The sequence below is a fragment of the Homo sapiens genome, chromosome 9 (genome assembly GCF_000001405.40).
Source record: "Homo sapiens chromosome 9, GRCh38.p14 Primary Assembly".
Classification (NCBI taxonomy): domain Eukaryota; kingdom Metazoa; phylum Chordata; class Mammalia; order Primates; family Hominidae; genus Homo; species Homo sapiens.
This window is the reverse complement of record NC_000009.12, coordinates 136,194,309-136,214,376: the sequence shown is the minus strand read 5'-3', so window position 1 is coordinate 136,214,376 and position 20,068 is coordinate 136,194,309. Positions and strand designations below refer to the sequence as shown.

Sequence of the window (20,068 nt, the reverse complement as noted above, 5' to 3'; positions counted from 1 at the left end):
CAGGCCACTCGCAAGGGGAGGACATTACAGGAGGCGTGAGTATAGGTGGTGTGATCTGTGGGGACCGTCGCAGAGGCTGCCCACCACAAGGGGTTAAAACCTATAAAACTTCGAAGTTGGATTTAATAATTTTCAATTACTAGGAAATAGATAAAAACAAATTTTCTGTCCTTCACAGAACACTAAAGTATGTATTGGATTTTTTATCCCCCCTGAATTTTGTTGTGTGTGTGCTTCCCAGTTGAAGCAGTAATTCAGGTTCATTAATGTTTACTTCAAAGCCGAAGTGGAGTCTTGACTCACACAGTTCAACGCTCTTTCCAGTAAGATTCTCAAATTCCTTTACGGTTATTTTTTGCCACATAACAAACTAACCTAAAATGCTGGGGCTTAAAGCAGCCACCACTGTTTGCTTATCATGCTGTGGATCAGCAGTTTGGGCTGGGCTCGGCTGGGCGGTTCTTCTGTGAGTTGCTGCTTGGGCTCACTCGTGTGTGTCTGCCTTCGTCTGGTGGCAGCTGGTCAGTCCAGGGGACCTTGGAATGCCTCGTACTCCTGAACGTGGCTTCCCCACCAAGTAGCACCAGGTTCAGGCAGGACCCCCTGAGAGTCCACCTCAGTGTGGAGTCACATATTATTACTTCTGCCGCATCCTGTTGACCCAGCCTAAATTCGTGGTGAGAGAAATAGATTCCACCTGTTAATGGGAGAGTGTCCCGGGATGGGGGCACTATAGTGGCCTTCTGAAAATCTGTTTTGGCCCTCCTCAAGGTGATATTGGATTACTGCTTCTCGGGGGTCTGGTTGGGGGAGAGGGTGGGTTTTAACCTCAAATCCTTTTCATAATCATACAGAAAAAAAGAGTAGTATGTTTTTGGGGAGAAACCTTGGGAGCTGTCCAAACAGAAATTGAAATCACAGCATCCACACTGCCTGATCTAATGCCCAGCTAGACCATGCAAACCTGATTCCGACCGAATGCCCAGCCAGACCATGTAAATCTGATTCTGAGCTGTGCACAAGGCTCACACCTGTAATCCCAGCACTGGAGGTTGCAGTGAGCCAAGATCATGCCACTGCACTCCAGCCTGGGCAACAGCAAGACTGTCTCAAAAAAAAAAAAAAAAAAAAAACACAACAAAACTGCTTCTGAAGCGTGAGCCTGAGTTAGGAAACCTCACGTTTACACATGGAAAGTTCTGGTGAGGAGATGAGCTGACATGCCATCCCCCTTTCCGTCTGCTCTGATCACACGGGCACACGCAGGCATGAGGAACGGCTCCTTGAAGGCAGTGTGGGTACAGTGTTGGCCAAGGGGAGAAGTTGAGTGACCGGGGTATTTGATTTTAAACTCTTCTAGGACCAGCCCTAGTGTAGTGGAATTGTAAGAGCAGTGTGATGGCAAAGCACACTGCTAGCAAGACCCTCAGCGCTCCTTCCGCCCATCAGCATATTGGAAGCAGCCTCCAGGAGTAGCCTCCTGCCAAGAGAATTGGGTCAGAGGCGACCACGGGATTAAGTCTTGGAAGGTTTTTCTTCTCTTTACTGTATGTTTAAGCCCTATCTAGTAAAATGCCTGTGAAGGCCTCTAATCCTCCCACAGGTAGAGGTTTATGGTTCTTGTCCACTTTAAAGATTAGGGTGGCCCCGCGCCTGCGGTGATGTGGGGAAGAGGAGGGGGATTACGTGGAGATGCAAGGCAGATGTCTGTGGAGCCCTCCCGGCAGGAGAGCAGGGCAGACGGGCCGGGTCACAGGGCCAGCGCCTGCGGTCCCATCTGAGACACCGCCCAGCTGCCCGTGGACACGCTCAAGGCTGAGGAGGAGGTGGTCTGCTCTGCTCTGCTCTCACCTTTCTGGGTGAAATAAACAAGAAGTGTCGGGATTTGGGACCGACCAGGACGCTGAGGTCAGGGCCTGCACGCAGCTGTGTTTTGCAGGGAGCCACGACAAGCGTCAGGCCTGCACTCACGCGGGAAGCTCCCCCAGGGCCTGCTGTCGATGAAGACGGATTCATTCGCGAAAGCATGTCTTTTTTTAATGCTGACATGTAATCTGTTTTAATCTCATGGGTCTCCTATCTGTGCGTTCAAGCTCCTGTGTCAGTCGTCTGAGTGGGGACTGCCGAGCCCCGCCCCATGCTGCCCCCTTGGTTTTCTCAGGGGTTCCCCTTGGTTGCGGTGCTGGCTGCTTCCTGCCACCTGTGGGCAGGTGTTGCTTTCTTGAGATGTGTGTTGTTCATTCACAGTATCTGCGGAAGCGCCCCGGCCTGTCCATGTCTGTTAATACGTTCGGTGGCACAAACTCTGGCTGTGGGTGCACCCGTCCCTGTGCCTGCCCACCTGCTCCACATCCTCACGCCCGTGGCTGGCGGCAGCTTAAGAGTCACTTCCTAAGGCCGTGTCCCCACTTGGGCTGGTGTCCTGCAGGGCTTTCAAACGCGACAGCTGCAGGTTTAGAATGAGCAGAGTCATTGCCCTGGTACCAGCCCCTGAGAGTTGCTTGTAAGGCAAGAGAGACTGCACCCAGCTGGCAAATCCCGGGGAAGAGCGGCACTCCGGGCGTTCTGGCACAGACGGCTGGAAGACTGGTGGGAGGTGGGAGGCGCCCCTGGAAGGGCTCCTTTGGGCCCTGGCGGCCGAGTCCGTGGCTCATCCTCCTGGCACCAGGGCATCTGGGGAGCATGTCCGCCCTCTGGGCTGTCCACAGTCATTGTGTCTCCAGAGCCTGCAGCACCCGTGGGCGTGTTGGACATCTTGGCAGGTGCTGGCTTCTGGTCTGTGCCCACAGCCTGAGGCCCCTGGGGAGACATGAGGTGGCTTCCCGACATGTCAGGAGCGGTTTCCCCCCAGGCTCTCTGGACAAGCGTGGGGTCAGGTGATGCCCACGCACCTGCCGTTGTCAGCAGTGTTTCTTCCCCTGCAGGCTTTGAAGACGACCCCCAGGCTGTGCTGCAGACAATGAGGAGGTACGTTCACACCTTCTTTGGGTGTAAGGAATGTGGTGAGCACTTTGAGGAAATGGCTAAAGAATCCATGGACTCGGTGAAAACCCCAGACCAAGCCATCCTCTGGCTGTGGAAGAAGCATAATATGGTGAACGGCCGCCTGGCAGGTGAGAAGCCCCTGGGCATGGGGGGCTCAGCACGGGCGGAGGGAGGCCCTGGTCCTGGGACAGCAAGGACGGCACGGCTGCCGTGGGGCTTGTCCCTGAGCTTTGCGGCCTCGTGCCACCCACTGTGCTGACGGGATCAGGACTTGGGTGGCTGAGAGCTGCCAGAGCTGCAGCCTTTCCCAGGCTGCTTCTGTCCCCGGCTTTCTAGATGCTTCTCTCACTCCGGGGGCTCTTCGACCCCGTGGAAATGGGTGTGGCTCTTTCTTCCCCCATCGGTACCCACTGGTAGCCCGTTAGACTCTGAAGATGTTTTTGACTCTGGAAAGCTTGGAACGTAATTAATTTTTGATGAGGAATTTTAGTAGTATGGAAATCTGTTGTCCAAACGTAAACCAAACCTCTCAAAGTGCTTTGTTTTGTTAAAAAAAAATAATTAAATAGGGCACATGTATTTTCTCAGAGTTAAGTACTTCAAACTGTTCCTAAATCAGTGGCAGATTAAAATTAGGCTTAAAAATAATTCCACTGAGAAATCTTAATAGAGATGAATAGAAAATGCCACTAAACTATTGGTTTTTATTTAATCCACTGTGTTAGAAAAACATATTACAGCTGAAGCACTAAAGAAATTGGTTTTTCTTTGCCCTGAGCCTGACTGCCGGGGCCGGGGTCATGTGACGAAGGCGCTGTGTGTCTGCGGGGTTTGTTCCCTCGGTCAGCGCAGCTTCTCCGTCTCTCCGCCCTGGCAGCCTCTGCATCGCCGCCGCCCACAGAGCTCCCTGTGCTTTCCCCGAGCCCTCGGCTCTGAGGCAGTGGGACCAGGACCCTCGCCAGGCCTGCCTGGACCTGGAGCCCCTGCTGCTACCTGTGGCCCCAGCCCGCATGTGCCCCCACTACCCCAGTCATGAGACTGCAACAGAAAGGGGCCTTACAGCCCAGTGTGATTGTCACTCCTGAGATTCCCACTCCAGTCCCACCTCCAGCCTGTGCATTGAGACCCAAGCTCCTGGGAGGCCCCTCGGAGATGTGCCTGGGGTCTTCTGCCCAGGGCTGGCGCCTTATTTGACAGTCCTACATGAAGCTCTGGCAGCTTCTGACCAAGGTGCCACTGGTCTGTGCTTGTCCCCTCTGGCTTCGTGTGCAGCACCTGCTGCCGGTTGGCCGGATAAGCACGCAGTCAGTGACTGGCCCGAGTAGGGCATCTCTTGATTTCAGGCACGTCTCAAGTCCCCCAGACAAACGTGGTTGTGTTTACATTCACTTCTGGAAGCTCTGTGAGGGTGGCCAGGTGTCAGCAAGTCGGGTCGCAGGGGCTCCGAGAGCTAGGAGGCGCCGTGCGCCGCAGCTTCTGCATGACGGATGCCTGTTGGGCCTGGAAGTGAGCACATGTCACTTCAGAAACGAGTTTTGGAGATCTTGAAGGGATTTGTAGTCCGGAAAGGGCCAGTGTACCTGAAGTGCAGTGGAAATTCATTGCTGCCCCTCTGCCCTTTCCTGAAGGTGCACCTAAGGCCCACTGTCCATAGCACCCAGGTGGCCGGGGCTCTGTAGGTAGTGGGCCTCAGGTGCACCCTCAGGAAAGGGCAGAGGGGCAGCAGTGGGGGGAGGGGCACACAGGCAGCACTGTGCGGAGAAAGGCCTCCAGGTGAGAGCTGCATGCTCCGTTTTGGAAGTGGAGTGCTGGGTGGTTTGGGACAGGTGTGGTCTGGGAAGTGGCGGAGGCCGAGCGTGTAGCGTCTCCTCACTTGCAGGCTATGGGAACCGGCAGAGGGGAACACGTGCGCAGGGGCCTGCAGAAGCAGGATGTTATCTGGGCCGAACTGCAAGGGACGGGTGGTGGGAAGGGCAGGGAGGGAGGCCTGGCAGGACCCTGGGCCAGGGCAGTGGAGGCCCGTGGTGGGTGGGAGTGGGAGTCCGGTTGCCGCACGCTGCACGTGGCTGCACAAAGCCTCCTTCCCTCTGGCTCTCCCGCTTCCTTTTCTTCCTAGGCCATCTGAGTGAGGATCCCCGGTTTCCAAAGCTTCAGTGGCCCACTCCGGACCTCTGCCCAGCCTGCCATGAGGAAATTAAGGGCCTGGCCAGCTGGGATGAAGGCCACGTGCTCACATTCTTGAAGCAGCACTATGGCCGCGACAACCTCTTAGACACGTATTCCGCAGACCAGGGGGATTCCAGTGAAGGAGGAACCCTGGCCAGGGGTGAGGAAGAGGAGAAAAGACTCACTCCCCCAGAGGTGTCCCATGGAGACCGAGACACCCAGAGCGTCCGTCCACCTGGTGCACTGGGCCCCAGGCCTGCCCTTCCAGAGAGCTTGCATCACAGCTTGGACGGGAAACTCCAGAGTCTGGATGGGCCCGGGGCCCACAAGGAGGTGGGCGGGGCCGCACCCTTCCTCGGGGTTGACTTCTCCAGCCTGGACATGAGTCTCTGTGTCGTGCTGTACGTGGCTTCATCCCTGTTCCTCATGGTGATGTACTTCTTCTTCCGGGTGAGGTCCAGGCGGTGGAAGGTCAAGCACCACCACCCGGCCGTGTGAGTGCCCGGGTGCTGCCAGCCACGGCGGAAGCTCCCTTGGAGGCAGCCCTGCCCCGTGCCACCTGCAGCTTTAATATTTATGATCAGGGATTTTATAAACATGCGGGCCTGGTTTCACATCGGATGGCACCTTTTGGCTTCAAAGTCCTGGTTTTACAAACGCTCTTCTAACAAGGGAAGAACACGGGGTAATTTTGTGGGGATATTTGCATTCCTGGCGTACTCAAGTCTGTTCATGCTCCTTTTGCAGGTCTTACAGCAAAAAGACTTCTGTATTTTTACTCTTCTAGATGTGAAAAGAGGGTGCAGAGTCCAGGCCAGATAGTCTTCCCCACACACTTTCATCTCGTTTCCTCCACTCCGCCCCATCCTGCAGGGCCTTGTTTTTGTATTTGGAGAACCTCGCCCATCCCCCCCGCGGCTCCTGGCTCCCCCCCACTCCCCTCGCTCCCCCTCCCCCCGCTCCCCCCACGCCCCCTGCTCCAGGCTGCCAAGTGTTTTCCTTTAGCCGGGCGGGGACAGACAGAGCCGGAAGCGCAGTCGGCCTCTGCAGCCCCTCCAAGCAAGTGCTCCAGGGACTATCCTGTGTTTGTAGCTGCTTCCCTAGGGCAGGTTCCTGAGGGCTCTCCTTGTTCCTCCGGGTGTTCGACACCAGACGTGGGGATTTCAACAGGGGAGGAGCCAAGGAATTCTGTGGCTGTGCTGCGTTTCAGAAAATAACCCCCAGAGGCCTTGGGCTGTGGACCTGGGGGTTGGAAGGATGGGGGCTCATTTAACCCTCAGAGGCAGCGCCTTTGTCTGTCTATCTGGTGACAAGAGAGAGACAAGTAAATGGGGGCCGTTGGGACGGCGGGTGCCTGGAGGGCAGCTCTGGGCTCAGCGGGCAGTGCTTAGAGCACAGGCCCCTCTGTTGGGGGATGGGGAGGAGAGCAGTCTGCCCTTGGGAGCGTAGGCCCCAGGGAGACTTCTAAAGCCCCCCCTGTCGTCTGCTCTTCACCCAGCACCACAGAGGCACCTGCTGCACACACAAGCATCTCACTCGGCCCACGGAGGGGGCCAGGCTTCCTTTGCCTGAAGCTGTTTTGGGAAGGGTCTCCACACAGGCACTGATCTCCCAAGCTTTTGTCATGATGTCTTTTACCATTTGATAATTTTAAACATTGTTTTTAAACCCAAAACATTTAGTGGTCCGTTGCCTCTGAAGATGTAAACAAACAAATACACTATTTCTGGGAACATTTATATTGAGATTCTTTGTGGCTATTGGTGTGTCTCACAGGCAAAATTTGATTTGGCTAAAATAGGCTCAGATGTATTTGTGTGCCCGTGTGTGTGTGTGTGTGTGTGTGTGTGTGTGTGTGTGTATGAGAGAGAGAGAGACTTTGACGGTTGTAGATATTTTTTCCGCTTTGCCTACTTTATGTTGTATAATCATGTGTTTACTAACAAGTTGATGACATGGATGTATTCATAAGACCATGTAATATTGATGTGATTGTTGTCGCTTGAGAAAAAAAGGCAACAGCTGATTCTTTCAACAACTGTCACAGAATGGCTGGGCTGAGAACGCTGCCCAGGGCCCTGCAGCTGGCGGGAGAGGTGTCTGGTGGGAGCGGTGTCTGGTGCGTCAGCCTGCTGCTTCGTGTCTCACTCGAGAGTTGCTTCTGGTTTCACACTTTTTAACCCCTCTGTGCTTTAGCAGCCGTGACCTTGCCTTCATTGCTTCATCCAGTGCAGGCCTGGGTTATTGAAGACACCAAAGTGTTTCTCTTCCAGTTTGAAAACCAGGCAGGTTTACACGTGGGTTTCAGTGTATTTGCCTTTGAACCCTTCAAACTAAACTTTAGCCTTTTGGCTGGTGTTGAATGTCTTTAGCTGGGGTGACCTGGAGTGACCTGGGACGGTGTTGTGGTTTACCGTCTCCAGCTTCAGCCTTTCCAGAAACCCTTGTGGAGGGCAGTGTTGGCTGCAGGTTTCATCATATTGCAGTTTGAGGTCACCACTATTTGGGGAACAAGCTTGCGTCCTGCTGAGGGGCAGGATTTTCAGCAGAGCGTCGGTGGGGCTGGGCCGTCGTGGAGGTGGCCCCAGGAGTCATATGGCCATACTCAGACACACCTTGTGTGGCCTGCTCAGAGCTGGATGCCACCTTTAGGCAATGTTTAGAGTCTATTTTCTAAAGTTTTAAGTATTTTAAGAGGTATTGAGACTAATGAATATAATAGTTCAGTAATTTAAATGCTTATTTATTTTCAGTGGAAGGATTTTTATTAAAAAGAAGCTAATTGACATGGAAATGTCAGTGAAATTTCTTACCTGCAAGGAAAGTGAACATTTTGTATTTAAGTAAACTATAATGTGCACATTTTAATAAAGAAATCTGACATTTGAAAAAATGGTGATTCTTTTGAAATGTGAACCAGCTCTACCAGTGGGAGTTGTGGTAGAGGCGGTGGGTGCAGAATGGACCCCTCTTTTGTTCACGTACTGGACATCTGAAATCCTAGAGTTTCTCCTATCGAATCATTGGCTTTTGGGACACAGCCCAAGGGTCGGATGGAAAGTAGAAGATGGAAAGCAGTGATAGATCATCTCCCTGGAGCTGATCTGGACGAGACTCACAGGACAAGACCCTTGATTTTACACAGGTTAAAGGGCAGCTGAGATGCATGTCAGCTACACACTTCAAAGAGCACGCGCGGCAGCCCAGCCTGAGGGCACCTCAGAGGACCCCCAGCTTGCTTGAGTGGCCATCCCTCTGCTTCCTGGGTGTGAGTGTCCTGCTAAGGCTGTTTGTGGTGTTCTGTGGGGTGCCCTTGACCCCGTGTTGTCTTCTGCCCCTCCCCTACTTTTGCTGTGCCAGTGGGGGCAGGGCAGTGGTCAACAGTCTTGCCTGTGGCTGTGGAGGAAGCCGGTTGGCACCTCCCTGGCCAGGCTGTGCAGAGGCTGGCAGTAACTCAGTCACTCGTCAGGCACCGAGCAGACACCAGCCTGGGTGTGTACTGGGCGATTCCTTCAGGCCCTGCCTATGCCCAAGGTCTTGAGTCCTCAGCAGTGCTTTTGTTACAGGGGACTGCAGGTGCCTCTCCTCCTGGCAGCCCGGAGGGGTGCGGGCTGAGCTCCTCCCAGAAGTTGGGGGTTGAGTTCAAGGAGGTTAAGAGTGGAAAGTTCCCTGACCAGCAAAACACCTGCAGGAGAGTGCCCCAGTGAGCCCTGGGCTGGAGTTGATCACGCATGGGGCTGCCCCGGGGCACGGCCTGGGCACTGCCTTCCAGAGGCTGCACGCCAGAAGGGTAGGGTCAGTGTCCTCCTGCCCTGCGGCTGGACGACCCGCTTGCTGCGAAACTCGGCGAATCCCAGCGCCTCAGCAGGGCCTGGAGCTTAGGGAGGAGCGGGCACGGCCACCCTGGGTCTCAGAGGGGTGAGGGCGGGGGCTGCCTTGAGTGCGGCCCAACCCAGCCAGGGAGGGAGGCGCGCCCGACACGGGGCAGAGGCGGGGGTGGGGACCGGGGCGACGAGAGGGGCCCCGGGAGGTGGGCGGGCGCGCGGGCGGGGCGGGCAGCGGGCGCCTCCTTCAGCACCGCGGACAGCGCCAGGCCCAGTGGCTCCCGGGCTCCCTGCCCCGCACGACGCGGCGGGACTTGGGAGCCCCGAACCCTCCAGGGGACGCTGACCTAGGAGGAGCGCGTCTCGCGCCACTCGGCCTGGTGGCCGCGATGCTGCTGGAAACGGGGCTCGAGCGCGACCGAGCGAGGCCCGGGGCCGCCGCCGTCTGCACCTTGGGCGGGACTCGGGGTAAGCCCCAGCAGGACACTGAGGACAGAAACGGCAAGGGCGGCAGAGGCGCGAGGAAGGGGGTGCGTGCAGGGCCAGCGGCCAGGCAAAGAAAGTCCCGCCGCTCTGCAGGCGGGACACAGAGATGGAAACTGCAGAGAGTGAGTTTCCAGATCCCAGGGTGGCGGGGAGGGCCTGACGCTGGCCTGCAAGAGTGCGGGACAGCGGTTGGAGTGGAGGCCCCTAGAAAAAAAGGGGGCATCGCAGGCACAGCTGGGGGGCGATGGGGCCGACCAAGGGGTGCTAGGTTCCCCCGGTGACCAGTGCCCGTCAGCTCTTGCACACAGCCCGGCCCAGGTCTCTGGACCCCACAGCAGGGGACCCAAGCCTGTGTCTCCCGCCTGAACCACCCTCCCCAAGGGCCATTCCATCACCACGGACGCTGGGAAATAATGGAGGCATTGTTGGAGGGCTGGCCAGATGCCAGCAGGGTGGGCCGCCTCCTTAACCTGCCGCCGCCCCTTCCCCAGTCCTGCCACACACGACCCCTGATCGCTTCGGCAGCAGCTGACACTCAGCCACCTGCACCCAGCACAGCCCGCACACACTCGGCTTTGCACCCGCGTGTCCTTGCCCTGGCCCTTCTTGGGTAACAAGTGCTGTGCAAAGTGAAGGGGCAGAAAGCTGGCTGCATGGGCCACTGCTCAAAACGGACACATCGGACCTGCTGGGAGCTAGGAGGGAGGGACTGTGGTTTCTTGTGCCCATCCTTCTGGGCCTGGGCCCTTAAAGCTCACAGTCCAGAAGCCATAGGCAGAGTGGACAGAGTATTGCTGTGAGACCCACAGGGAGAGGGACCTGCAGGATGGCATCAGCCCCTGGTCCCCCAACCCTTCCTGTGTGTTTCTGCGCACTGCCAGGGCACCCCTGCCTTTGCCAAGTCCTGTGCTGCCGAGGGCCACCCACTGCTGTGTTCTTCCCCGGGTGGCTGCCCAGGGCTGGTGCTGGCCCAGGGCCCTCTGGGCAGGGGTGGGTGCGTCCCTCTGCCTGCAAGGACAGGTGGGTTCTGGAGAGCTCACCTGTGTGGACTGGGGCAAGAGGCTGAAATATCAGGTAAGGGACCGTGTTCCAATGGAGCCGGAGTGCTGGGGGCTGGAAATGGAAGGTGTGCCCTGGGGCTTCCCCAGCTCGGCCCCTCACGACCCGAGGTCTTGGCTGCGTGTCCAGGACACAGAGCCTGTTCTCTCTCAAGGATTGCCCTTCCTCCCTGAGCCGTCCGGGGCCGCAGTTCCAGGGGTGGAGCCCAGAAGCCTGTTAGCATCTGGGATCGGTCCGGCACCTTGCGGTTCCGGTACGCAGCCCTCGGCGCCACACTCACCCCTTCTGCGTTTCGGGTTGAGCTCCCGCCGACCATCTGCTGCTCCCGAGGCCAAACCTCAGCGGCGGGAGGACCCTGCTGCCTTCTCGACCCCTCTCCCGGGAACCTTAGCCCTCCTGGCGTGTGCTCCAGCTCAGGCCTCTGCCTCTGGGCCGCTCCGGCGCAGGAAGCTGCGGGGCCGGGACGAACGCTGGCGGGAAGCCCTGACCTGGGCCCTCCCTTACCGGTGCCCGCCCTCGGGCCGGGCACGCGGGGCGGCCTCTGGGCACCGCAGGTCCCGGCGCAAAGGCGCTCAGAGTCCGCAGTGGCCCGGGCTGGTCTCCGCGACCCCCGGCCCCGCCCCGCCCCGCGGCCCCGCCCCCCGGCCGCTCCGCCCTCCGCTCGGCCAGAGGCTCCGGGCCCCAGGGCGGCCCGCGGGCGCAGCGCCCAGCAGCACCCGGAGTCGCTTGGACGCCGGTTCGGGGCTATTGCGGGGTGGCGTCGCTGGGCCCGGGAAAGTTCGGGACTGGAGAGTGGCGACGCCGGGCGGCGGGACCCATGGAGGCGCGCGGGGAGCTGGGCCCGGCCCGGGAGTCGGCGGGAGGCGACCTGCTGCTAGCACTGCTGGCGCGGAGGGCGGACCTGCGCCGAGGTGGGTGCCCGGGCCGAGTGGCTGCACCGGGGAGACCAGGAGATCCTCAGGCCTTTCCGGGCCTGGCCGCGGAGGCTGGCAGGAGCTAGAGGATCTGGGCGGGAGTGGGCGCGAGGACCCCGGAACGTCCGCGCCTGGGCGCCTCAGCCTGTATTTGTTGCAGGGCCCCTGGCCTGGGTTGTCAGGGAGTGAGTGAGGTTGTGGCACTGCGCTGCTCCGGCCAGGGAGCTCTCGGGGGTCCAGGGTGGGCTTAGGAGACCTCTGCAGCCCGGAGCCAGCTCCCTGGGCTGGAGGAGGCGCAGGGAGCAGTGGCGGGGCAGTGACCACGGGACAGGAGGGTCCCCAAGAAGGCCGCCCCAGCCGGACTCTTTCCACGTTCCAGCGGAACAGAGTCAGATGCAGGGGCCAAGGTCGAGCTGAACTCCGACCGTCGGTCTCCCCGAAGTCAGGTTTCAGCGTCTGCGCCCACAGACACCCGCTCGGTTTATCCCCGCTCAGGGCCCGTCTGTAGGAAAAAGCCTCTCTTCTCCAGGCCCCCCAGCTTCCTGGTGGCACCACTCTAGCTCCCAGCACTTTGGTTCTTAGGGAACCTGGGCAGTTCTCCTCGACTCCCGGGCCAGCTGGAGCCGCAGGATGGGGAAGGAGGCCCCGGAGCCAGTGGGGAGTGAGAGGGACCGGCCGGCGGGAAGGGGGTTACATCCAGGCTGTGGGGGCTCGCGGTTCCCTACTTATTTATTTATTTTTCGACGGTTCCTGGGAGGGGTTGGCCGCGGGGGCTGGGGGGCGGAGAGAGGGAGGGAGGAAGGAGGACTGCGCGCCCGCGCTCGGGAGAGCTGGCCGGAGCGGGCGGGCTGGCGTCCAGGCTCCGCCGACCCCGCCATCCCTGACACAGGAGCCCCCGCCAGGGCTGGAGTCGCCATGCAGCGTAAGGCTGGGGTCGCGGGCGCGGCGCGGGGTGGGCTGGGGCGGCTTTTGCCCGACGCGGGCGCCGGCGGCGAGCTGCGGCCGAGGCGCTGTCCGGTCCGCGGTGCTGAATCCGCGCTGTGTCGGCCTGTCGGGCCGCCCCGCTCCGAGCCGGGTCCTCGCCTGCGATCGCTGCCCACGATGGGGACCCCGGGCGCGCAGCGGGTCCTCGACGCTCCGCACCCGGAGCTGCGGTTTTGCCGGATGCGGGGCGCATTCATCGCCGGTTTCCCGCCACTGCGTGGGGAGGCGCAGCCCAGTTTTTTCCGCCGGAGGTCGAGGGAGCCCCTTCCTGGTGTCTCTCACCCACTGGGAGATGGGCTGGAGCCGGCGGGGTCCACAGCCAGGGAGGCGGGTGCAATATGTCAGTAAATCCCGGTCCCTTCAGCGGGCACTCCTCTCTTCCAGAGACTTTTTCTAAGTGAAGAGGGAGTCCTCAGCCCTTGACACCTGGAAAACCCGCTCACAGACTCGAGGCTCCCACAGGGCACCCTTGGACCTCCCCAGTGTGGTTCCTCCAGGGGGCCTGCAGTACCGAAGTGGGGTGTGGGGGGCAGAAGCAGCGGGAAGCCAGACGTTTGAGTAACTCTGACGGTGTTGGGGGCACCCACGCCTGACACAAAGGCAGTGGATCGGCTTGTCCAGTCCACTCATAAGTAATTTTGCGGCTGCCCAATGATGGGGAAGGCATTGATATTTACCCCGGAGGCCTGCAGACAGGGCCACCAGGCAGGGCAGCCACATTTGCGAGGAGTCCCTAGAAAGAGTGGCCATGACGCTTAACATGAAGGAGACCCGATGGGGTGCCCCAGCTCCAGGTGATGGTGAAGACCCGTTTCCCTATGTTTCCTGCCGGGCTTCAGAGAGCAGATCCCCCTGGGGTGGGGTTTTCATTTGAGCTCCACATGCACCCTTCTTGGCACTGGCAACATTTTGTAATTGAGTATTCAGCCTCGTGAAATGGCCTGGGCTGCTTTCTTGCTCACACACATTTTTAGACCGATGTCAGTTTCCCCTTAGCTCCTGACATAGGATGCGGTGCCTGCACACTCCCGGAACTTGCGGGGCCACTTAAGCTGGCTGGGGAAGAGGGTGTGTAGGGAAAGGAGGACCCCTCGGCAGCCCTGAGTCCTGTGGGCCGGAGGGGAGACTGGCTCGCGTTGGGGTGGGAAGGTGGCTTCACTGCCTCCTGGTCTACGAGGTGACCCAGAACTTCCTCGTGCCCACAGAGATCCCGCTGTGCGCTGGCTGTGACCAGCACATCCTGGACCGCTTCATCCTCAAGGCTCTGGACCGCCACTGGCACAGCAAGTGTCTCAAGTGCAGCGACTGCCACACGCCACTGGCCGAGCGCTGCTTCAGCCGAGGGGAGAGCGTTTACTGCAAGGACGACTTTTTCAAGTGAGCCCCGAAACCTCACCTCAGTGTGGGAGCGGAGGGCACGCCTGCCCCAGGGACTCCTCCCCTCACAATCACCAAGGCCAGGCCCTCGAAGCCTGCGTCTCTCGCAATCCCAGCCCACTCCTGTCACCCAGGCAGGGCACCCTGTGGCCTGGCCAAATTAAGGGTGGGGCCTCTCCATGGGTGCTCCCTGGGTGGCTGGGCCTGGCTGGGACATCAGCAAGTATTATTTGGAAAAAAAAGCAATTTATTACCTAAATCACAGAAGCAGTCATTAGAGAAGATACACCCCTATTTGTAGGATTCTACTGGACTTAGTTCCTCCGAAATTGGTGATGTTTTAGTTCCTAATGCTGGCACCCAGCGGCTCTGGCCCAGTGGCCTTCATGGCTCCAGCTGTGGGGTGTGAGGGACTGGCCCCAGATGGGTCCTCTCCCTCCGGATTCACCTTCCCAGATCCAGCATGGGTCCTGCAGGCAATGGCGGCTGGGCTCCCCGAGGTCTTTCTGAGATTGAGGTTCCCTTCTCAGTGGGAGTGGGCAGCTCTGCCCCGGCGGCCAGGCTGGCGACCACCCTGCAGGGCCGGACAGAGCCTTCCTCCGGGGCCGCCTTCCCAGGCAGCCGCTTGCCTCTCTCCAACCCGCTCGGGGCGAAATGAGCCTCGCGCTTCCGCGCTGAGCCCGGCCCTGTGCGTCCCGCAGGCGCTTCGGGACCAAGTGCGCCGCGTGCCAGCTGGGCATCCCGCCCACGCAGGTGGTGCGCCGCGCCCAGGACTTCGTGTACCACCTGCACTGCTTTGCCTGCGTCGTGTGCAAGCGGCAGCTGGCCACGGGCGACGAGTTCTACCTCATGGAGGACAGCCGGCTCGTGTGCAAGGCGGACTACGAAACCGCCAAGCAGCGAGGTCAGCCGAGGGGACGACGCTCCCACCTTTCCTGGTCTGAAAAAAATGGGGCTGAGGCCACGCCCAGGGGGGCGTCCGGGGAAATTCTCTCCCCAAGCGCTCACTAAGGGGGCCTGGGCTAGGGCGGTGTAGGCAGCAGGAAGCCGAGGCCGGGAACGGCGGAGTCACGGACAGACCCGCGTCCCGAACCGCTTCGTTCGGTCCGAAGTGTGCGGCTTTTCGCCCCTGGTCGGAATTATCGCCCTAAATTCTTGGCCGCGAAGGCTGGGCCATACCCACACCCTTAGAATAAAGGGGAGCCCGCGGGGAAATCAGGGTGCTTGGAGAAGGGAGCCAAGGCTGAAGGCGGGGGCGCCGTGGAGGTGCGATTTTAGGGAAGGCGCCGCCCCCGCCCCCGCGGCAGAACCCGCCCTCCGCCGGCGCCCCCTCCACCCCAGCCCGGGTGCTGCCCGTTTTTGCCAATCGCTCCCAGCGCCCGCGCCTTCCGAGAAGCCTGTGGGGCGGGATGGGGGTGGGCACCTGAGGCCCCGACGTCCCCGCGCCGGCCGGGGTGGGAGGGCTGGGGGTCCGGCCGGGGCCGGAGGGGCTGCCGCGCCTCACCGCTCGCCCGCCGCGCAGAGGCCGAGGCCACGGCCAAGCGGCCGCGCACGACCATCACCGCCAAGCAGCTGGAGACGCTGAAGAGCGCTTACAACACCTCGCCCAAGCCGGCGCGCCACGTGCGCGAGCAGCTCTCGTCCGAGACGGGCCTGGACATGCGCGTGGTGCAGGTCAGCGCTCGCCCCTGCTTCCCTCCCGCCCGCGGCCTTGGGGGCCCCCGCAGAGCCGGGCGGCCGCTCACCCCGCCCCGCCCCCAGGTTTGGTTCCAGAACCGCCGGGCCAAGGAGAAGAGGCTGAAGAAGGACGCCGGCCGGCAGCGCTGGGGGCAGTATTTCCGCAACATGAAGCGCTCCCGCGGCGGCTCCAAGTCGGACAAGGACAGCGTTCAGGAGGGGCAGGACAGCGACGCTGAGGTCTCCTTCCCCGGTAGGCGGAGGGATCGCGGAGCTCGGGGGGGGACGAGCGCGCGTCGGCGGGGTCGCAGGGGTCCCAGGGAGCCCGCGGATCTGAATTTCCCATGGAGTTAGTGGACTCCTTAAGTTCTACTTTCAAAAGCATTTCACTTACAGAACCTGCTCCCCCAGCACCCTCCCCGCCCTGGGTGGCCACTCCGGACCACTGCTTTTCCCCTGGTGGGGACACAATCCCTGTGGCCCGACCTGTCCCCAAGCTGGGCGCCTACGGGCTTTCTCATGGGGGGGTGGGCGTGTCCAGGCCGTCTCTCTGGCTCCTAGCCCTTGCAGTGATTTTTAGGAGAATGGGCAGTGCATTTCGGGAAAGACTGAGTCGAAGTCCCAGCTGCTTGGAGTTGGGGGAGGGGGCTACCTGGGGTCAGGGAGAGAAGGTTCCATACCCTTCTGTGGGGCCTGGATTATTTATTTCATTCTCCGGGCACCGGGGATGCTGCGTCCCCATCTGTTGATGCCCATCCTCAGAATGTGGACAAGACACTCTCTTTTGGGCTGCCTCGTGACCCGGGCTACTCACTCAGCCACTCTGGAACTAAATATCCTTGTCTGCAAAATGTGGGTGGTGGTATCTGTGCCCCCTTCCTAGGCTGCTGTGGGGCTGGTCCTGAAAGCCTGGGCCCTGGCTGGGCTGTTCCTGACTCTGATCCCACCAGGCCTGAGACACCTGGGCTGACTCAGGGGTGAGGGCAGTGGAGGGGCAGGGGCAGCCATGCTCCAACAGTAGAAGGGGCCTGTTATGACCTGTCATGTGGTGTGGGGCAGCCACTCTTTCTCCGACCCAGGGGTGCCTCCGCCTGCAGGATGGGACTCTGAGGGGCCGCAGGTGGAGGGCAGGCGCTGACTGAGCCTCTGCTTCTGTTGCAGATGAGCCTTCCTTGGCGGAAATGGGCCCGGCCAATGGCCTCTACGGGAGCTTGGGGGAACCCACCCAGGCCTTGGGCCGGCCCTCGGGAGCCCTGGGCAACTTCTCCCTGGAGCATGGAGGCCTGGCAGGCCCAGAGCAGTACCGAGAGCTGCGTCCCGGCAGCCCCTACGGTGTCCCCCCATCCCCCGCCGCCCCGCAGAGCCTCCCTGGCCCCCAGCCCCTCCTCTCCAGCCTGGTGTACCCAGACACCAGCTTGGGCCTTGTGCCCTCGGGAGCCCCCGGCGGGCCCCCACCCATGAGGGTGCTGGCAGGGAACGGACCCAGTTCTGACCTATCCACGGGGAGCAGCGGGGGTTACCCCGACTTCCCTGCCAGCCCCGCCTCCTGGCTGGATGAGGTAGACCACGCTCAGTTCTGACCCAGGCCCGGCTCCACCCTGCACCTCACACGAGGGAGCTGCCCCTGGGTGGGCGGCTCGGGGCTGCTGGGGTTTCCGAGGAAGTGGGGCCAGGGCGTCAAGGGAGGGCTGGTGCCTTCGGAGCCTCCCACTGCCGACCGCACAGCTCCCTCTCTGGGGGCTGAGGGACCCACCTGGCCCCTCCTCTGACACAGGGCTGGCCCGCCAGGTGGCCTCCCAGCAAGCCAGCCTTTTTTGTAAGCAAATTTCTCCCCTTTATTGACCAATTAACTGAGCACTTGCTGCTATTTCTAGACATGAAATGTCACCTTGCTGAGGCCCAGCCCAGCCCAGCATAGCCCGAGGGCTGGAAAAACGCTTTCATCTCTAAAACTGAGAAATCATCATAATTGTGCTTTCACTTCCCAGGCTCCATGTGTCTTGGAGCCGTCACCCCGAGGCTCCCTCTTTAGGTCGGAGATTGGCCTTGCCTGTCGAGGCAAGAGGCTGCAGAGGCGGGGACACACCTGTGTCCTCCGGGAGAGGCCCCCTCCTCTCCCCAGACCACAGGGGGCCTCTCTGCCTCCAGCCCCACCTTCCCCGGGAGAAGCTTTCCCCAATCCCCAGGTCTCTAGATCATTCTGTTCTCGAGTATCCTGTGGAGGAGGCAAAAATGCCTGGCGCCCCTTCTCTCCAAGCTCAATTCTCTAAGCCCCTCAGGGTCTCCTCCTCACCCCACCCCAGGCCCTTGGTGTCCAGGCTGCACCCACAGATGTCTGTTGCCAAACAGCCTGCCCTCCCTGCCGGAGCCGGCTCTGCCAGCCCCAGATTGGGAAGTCTCCCCGCTGGAGAAGGGTGGGGCTCCTCTGAGCCTGCCCTGCCTCCTCCATCAGATCCTTTGGGAAGAAGTTTCTGGGAGATGCCCGCAGCTGTGCGTGCCCCAGACACAAAGGCTGGCCTGTGTGTAAGTCAAAGTCACTCCCGCAAACCTGAATCTCGAGCTACCTATTGGTTCTGTGAATGTTCTGTGTCTTTTATTTATTCTCGGGTGATCAGCTCTTTCCAAGACTTCAATAAATTTGTCAGTTACAGTCAATGGAAGGCCCGCGTTTTTTTGAGGCTGCGGGGGTTGGGGAGTGTTGGGTGTGGGGAACATTCTGTGAATGTTGAGAGGCAGCCCTGGAGGGGCCCTGAGTCCCCCTAGTTCGTTGCTTGGGCTGGCACCTAGTATGAATTTGGGCTCTCTTTATCCCTGGATCTTGGCCATGCTCATGAGCACTGGAAGGAGGTGGGGGGAACAGCCCATCCCTTCCTGATGGAGGGGAGGGGTTGCGGTCTCCACACCCTGTCCCTGGGAGAGGCAGGGGTTGGGATGTCCAGAGAGCATGATGGGGGTGGGAGGTGGGCCGTGTGTGCCATTCACAGCTTGCAGCTGGCACCAACCCCAGGACATAGGCTGGTAGGGTGACCAGGCTCATGGTCATGGAAGTCTCTCCAGCTTGGATTCCAATCCTGGCTCTTCTAACTTGCTGTGTGACCCTGGGCTGGGGGCTGGAACCCTCTGAGCCCTGCTTCCCCGTCCCCACCCCCCAACCCCCCCAACCCCGCCGCCGCCGTAAAGAGAAGACAGTGATGACAGTCCCCTCAGAGGGCAGAAAGAAGTTGTATGCGCCCCACCCCCACCCCCAGGTAAGTGCTCCTATAGGGGCAGTGGTAGAAGCAGGCAGGGTTGGCCCTTCCACCTCGGCCTTCCCTCCTGCAGGAAGGAGGGCTGGGCCTCCTCCCTGAGGGTCTCTTCCTCTGAGGGGGTCTCCCTGGAGCAGAGTGGGGGCTGGAGGGAGGAGGCCCCTTGGAGCCTGGGCTCCCTATTTCTCAGTGGACGGGGAGGGAAGGTGGAGGAGTCCCCATGCCTTTCATGGGGACCTTTGCACTGGCCTCAGTTCCCCCAGTAAGGGTGCGGAGGCCCCTCCAGAATGTGGCCAAGGGAAGCTGCTCTGAGCTGCAGACTTCCAAGTCTCTCCAGGACCAGCCATCTTTTGGGGGGAACTGGTTGGGACCAGTTGTGTGGTTTTTTTTTAAATGGAGTTTTGCTCTTGTTGCCCAGGCTGGAGTGCAATGGCGTGATCTCCGCTCACCACAACCTCCGCCTCCTGGGTTCAAGCGATTCTCTTGCCTCAGCCTCCCAAGTAGCTGGGATTACAGGCGCGCAGCACCATTCCCAGTTTTGTATTTTTAGTAGAGACAAGGTTTCACCATGTTGGCCAGGCTAGCCTCGAACTCCTGACCTCAGGTGATCCACCCGCCTTGGCCTCCAAAAGTGCTGGGATTACAGGTGTGAGCCACCGCACCTGGCCAAGGGAACAGTTGTCTTTTAAGGGACGTCCTTTTCATCGTTTCGGGATGTGTGTCAGGCACATCCTCTTCTGAGTCCCACAGCGGCCTCTCCTCTCAATCTCACAGAAGAGAAAGCTAAGGCCCAGGAAAGGGGAGGGAAGGGAGGAGAGGGGAGGGAAGATGGAGAAGGGGAGGGGAGGGAAGAGTGGGGAGGGAGGAGAGAGGAGGGAAGAAGGGGAAGGGGAGGGAAGAGGGGGAAGAGGGGAGGGCAGCTTGGGAGAAAAGAGCGGGAGACTGTCCTCAGCCATGCAGGCTTGGGCAACCCTGGGGACTGGGAGTGATGGGGCTGGGGCAAAGGACCTCTGAGGAACATCACCGGGAGAAGGTCTGATGTCCAGTCTGCCCTGACCCTGACCTCTGCTGACCTCTAGGCGCCCACAGACCCCAGGTCTGCAGGGCTAAACCGGGCAGGGGCTCTGGCAGGCTCCTGGACCTGTTCATTCCATGAACATTTCTAGAATTGGCTGTGCTCCGCCCAGCGGCCTCTGCCTGTGGGGAGACTGAGGCCCAGAGGAGGAAAGGACCTGTCCTGGCCTGGGTCCCCCCACCCCCCAACCCCCGCTGTGGGGAAGGAGGGGTGCTGACCAGGCGGTCAACGGGGTTTCTGTCGGGTCCTCCCAAGCCCCACCCGCCCTCCCTCCCT

At 60.2% G+C, this 20,068-nt stretch overlaps 2 protein-coding genes across 5 annotated transcripts in view, besides 5 other annotated features; both read left to right on the top strand.

Annotated features, from left to right (window-relative positions):
- Positions 1-8,044, top strand: part of QSOX2 (quiescin sulfhydryl oxidase 2) — a 39,480-nt gene extending 31,436 nt beyond the window's left edge. The window contains exons 11-12 of the mRNA NM_181701.4: positions 2,925-3,113; positions 5,102-8,044. Coding sequence (NP_859052.3) covers positions 2,925-3,113; positions 5,102-5,649 — 737 coding nt within the window. The 3' untranslated portion in view covers positions 5,650-8,044. The remainder of the gene's footprint in view (positions 1-2,924; positions 3,114-5,101) is intronic.
- Positions 2,167-2,943: an enhancer, noted in NCBI's record as "H3K4me1 hESC enhancer chr9:139103280-139104056 (GRCh37/hg19 assembly coordinates)". NCBI's record gives its function as "activates a minimal SCP1, AML or CMV promoter by ChIP-STARR-seq in primed H9 embryonic stem cells {active_cell/tissue: H9 hESC(primed)}" and the evidence as "EXISTENCE:reporter gene assay evidence [ECO:0000049][PMID:30033119]".
- Positions 4,841-5,390: an enhancer, noted in NCBI's record as "H3K4me1 hESC enhancer chr9:139100833-139101382 (GRCh37/hg19 assembly coordinates)". NCBI's record gives its function as "activates a minimal SCP1, AML or CMV promoter by ChIP-STARR-seq in naive H9 embryonic stem cells {active_cell/tissue: H9 hESC(naive)}" and the evidence as "EXISTENCE:reporter gene assay evidence [ECO:0000049][PMID:30033119]".
- Positions 5,391-5,942: an enhancer, noted in NCBI's record as "H3K4me1 hESC enhancer chr9:139100281-139100832 (GRCh37/hg19 assembly coordinates)". NCBI's record gives its function as "activates a minimal SCP1, AML or CMV promoter by ChIP-STARR-seq in naive H9 embryonic stem cells {active_cell/tissue: H9 hESC(naive)}" and the evidence as "EXISTENCE:reporter gene assay evidence [ECO:0000049][PMID:30033119]".
- Positions 9,249-18,127, top strand: LHX3 (LIM homeobox 3). Of its 4 annotated transcripts, none has more exons than NM_178138.6 (6): positions 9,249-9,443; positions 13,624-13,795; positions 14,497-14,699; positions 15,318-15,469; positions 15,557-15,725; positions 16,634-18,127. In NM_178138.6, exons 1-6 carry the CDS (start codon positions 9,365-9,367, stop codon positions 17,050-17,052), a joined length of 1,194 nt encoding a protein of 397 aa, NP_835258.1. In that variant the 5' UTR covers positions 9,249-9,364; the 3' UTR covers positions 17,053-18,127. The 4 variants fall into 4 exon arrangements, with proteins under 4 accessions (NP_835258.1, NP_055379.1, XP_016870657.1 ...); NM_014564.5 differs by lacking the exon at positions 9,249-9,443 and adding an exon at positions 11,188-11,431; XM_017015168.1 differs by lacking the exon at positions 9,249-9,443 and adding an exon at positions 12,350-12,356.
- Positions 15,301-15,990: an enhancer, noted in NCBI's record as "H3K27ac-H3K4me1 hESC enhancer chr9:139090233-139090922 (GRCh37/hg19 assembly coordinates)". NCBI's record gives its function as "activates a minimal SCP1, AML or CMV promoter by ChIP-STARR-seq in naive and primed H9 embryonic stem cells {active_cell/tissue: H9 hESC(naive and primed)}" and the evidence as "EXISTENCE:reporter gene assay evidence [ECO:0000049][PMID:30033119]".
- Positions 15,991-16,682: an enhancer, noted in NCBI's record as "H3K27ac-H3K4me1 hESC enhancer chr9:139089541-139090232 (GRCh37/hg19 assembly coordinates)". NCBI's record gives its function as "activates a minimal SCP1, AML or CMV promoter by ChIP-STARR-seq in naive H9 embryonic stem cells {active_cell/tissue: H9 hESC(naive)}" and the evidence as "EXISTENCE:reporter gene assay evidence [ECO:0000049][PMID:30033119]".

Excerpts from the sequence above, each read along its gene's own strand:
- LHX3 (NM_014564.5), top strand. The coding sequence starts at position 11,338 with ATGGAGGCGCGCGGGGAGCTGGGCCCGGCCCGGGAGTCGGCGGGAGGC. Across the intron at positions 13,796-14,496 it reads TGCAAGGACGACTTTTTCAA|GCGCTTCGGGACCAAGTGCG; the intron begins GTGAGCCCCGAA and ends TGCGTCCCGCAG. Across the intron at positions 15,470-15,556 it reads TGGACATGCGCGTGGTGCAG|GTTTGGTTCCAGAACCGCCG; the intron begins GTCAGCGCTCGC and ends CCCCGCCCCCAG.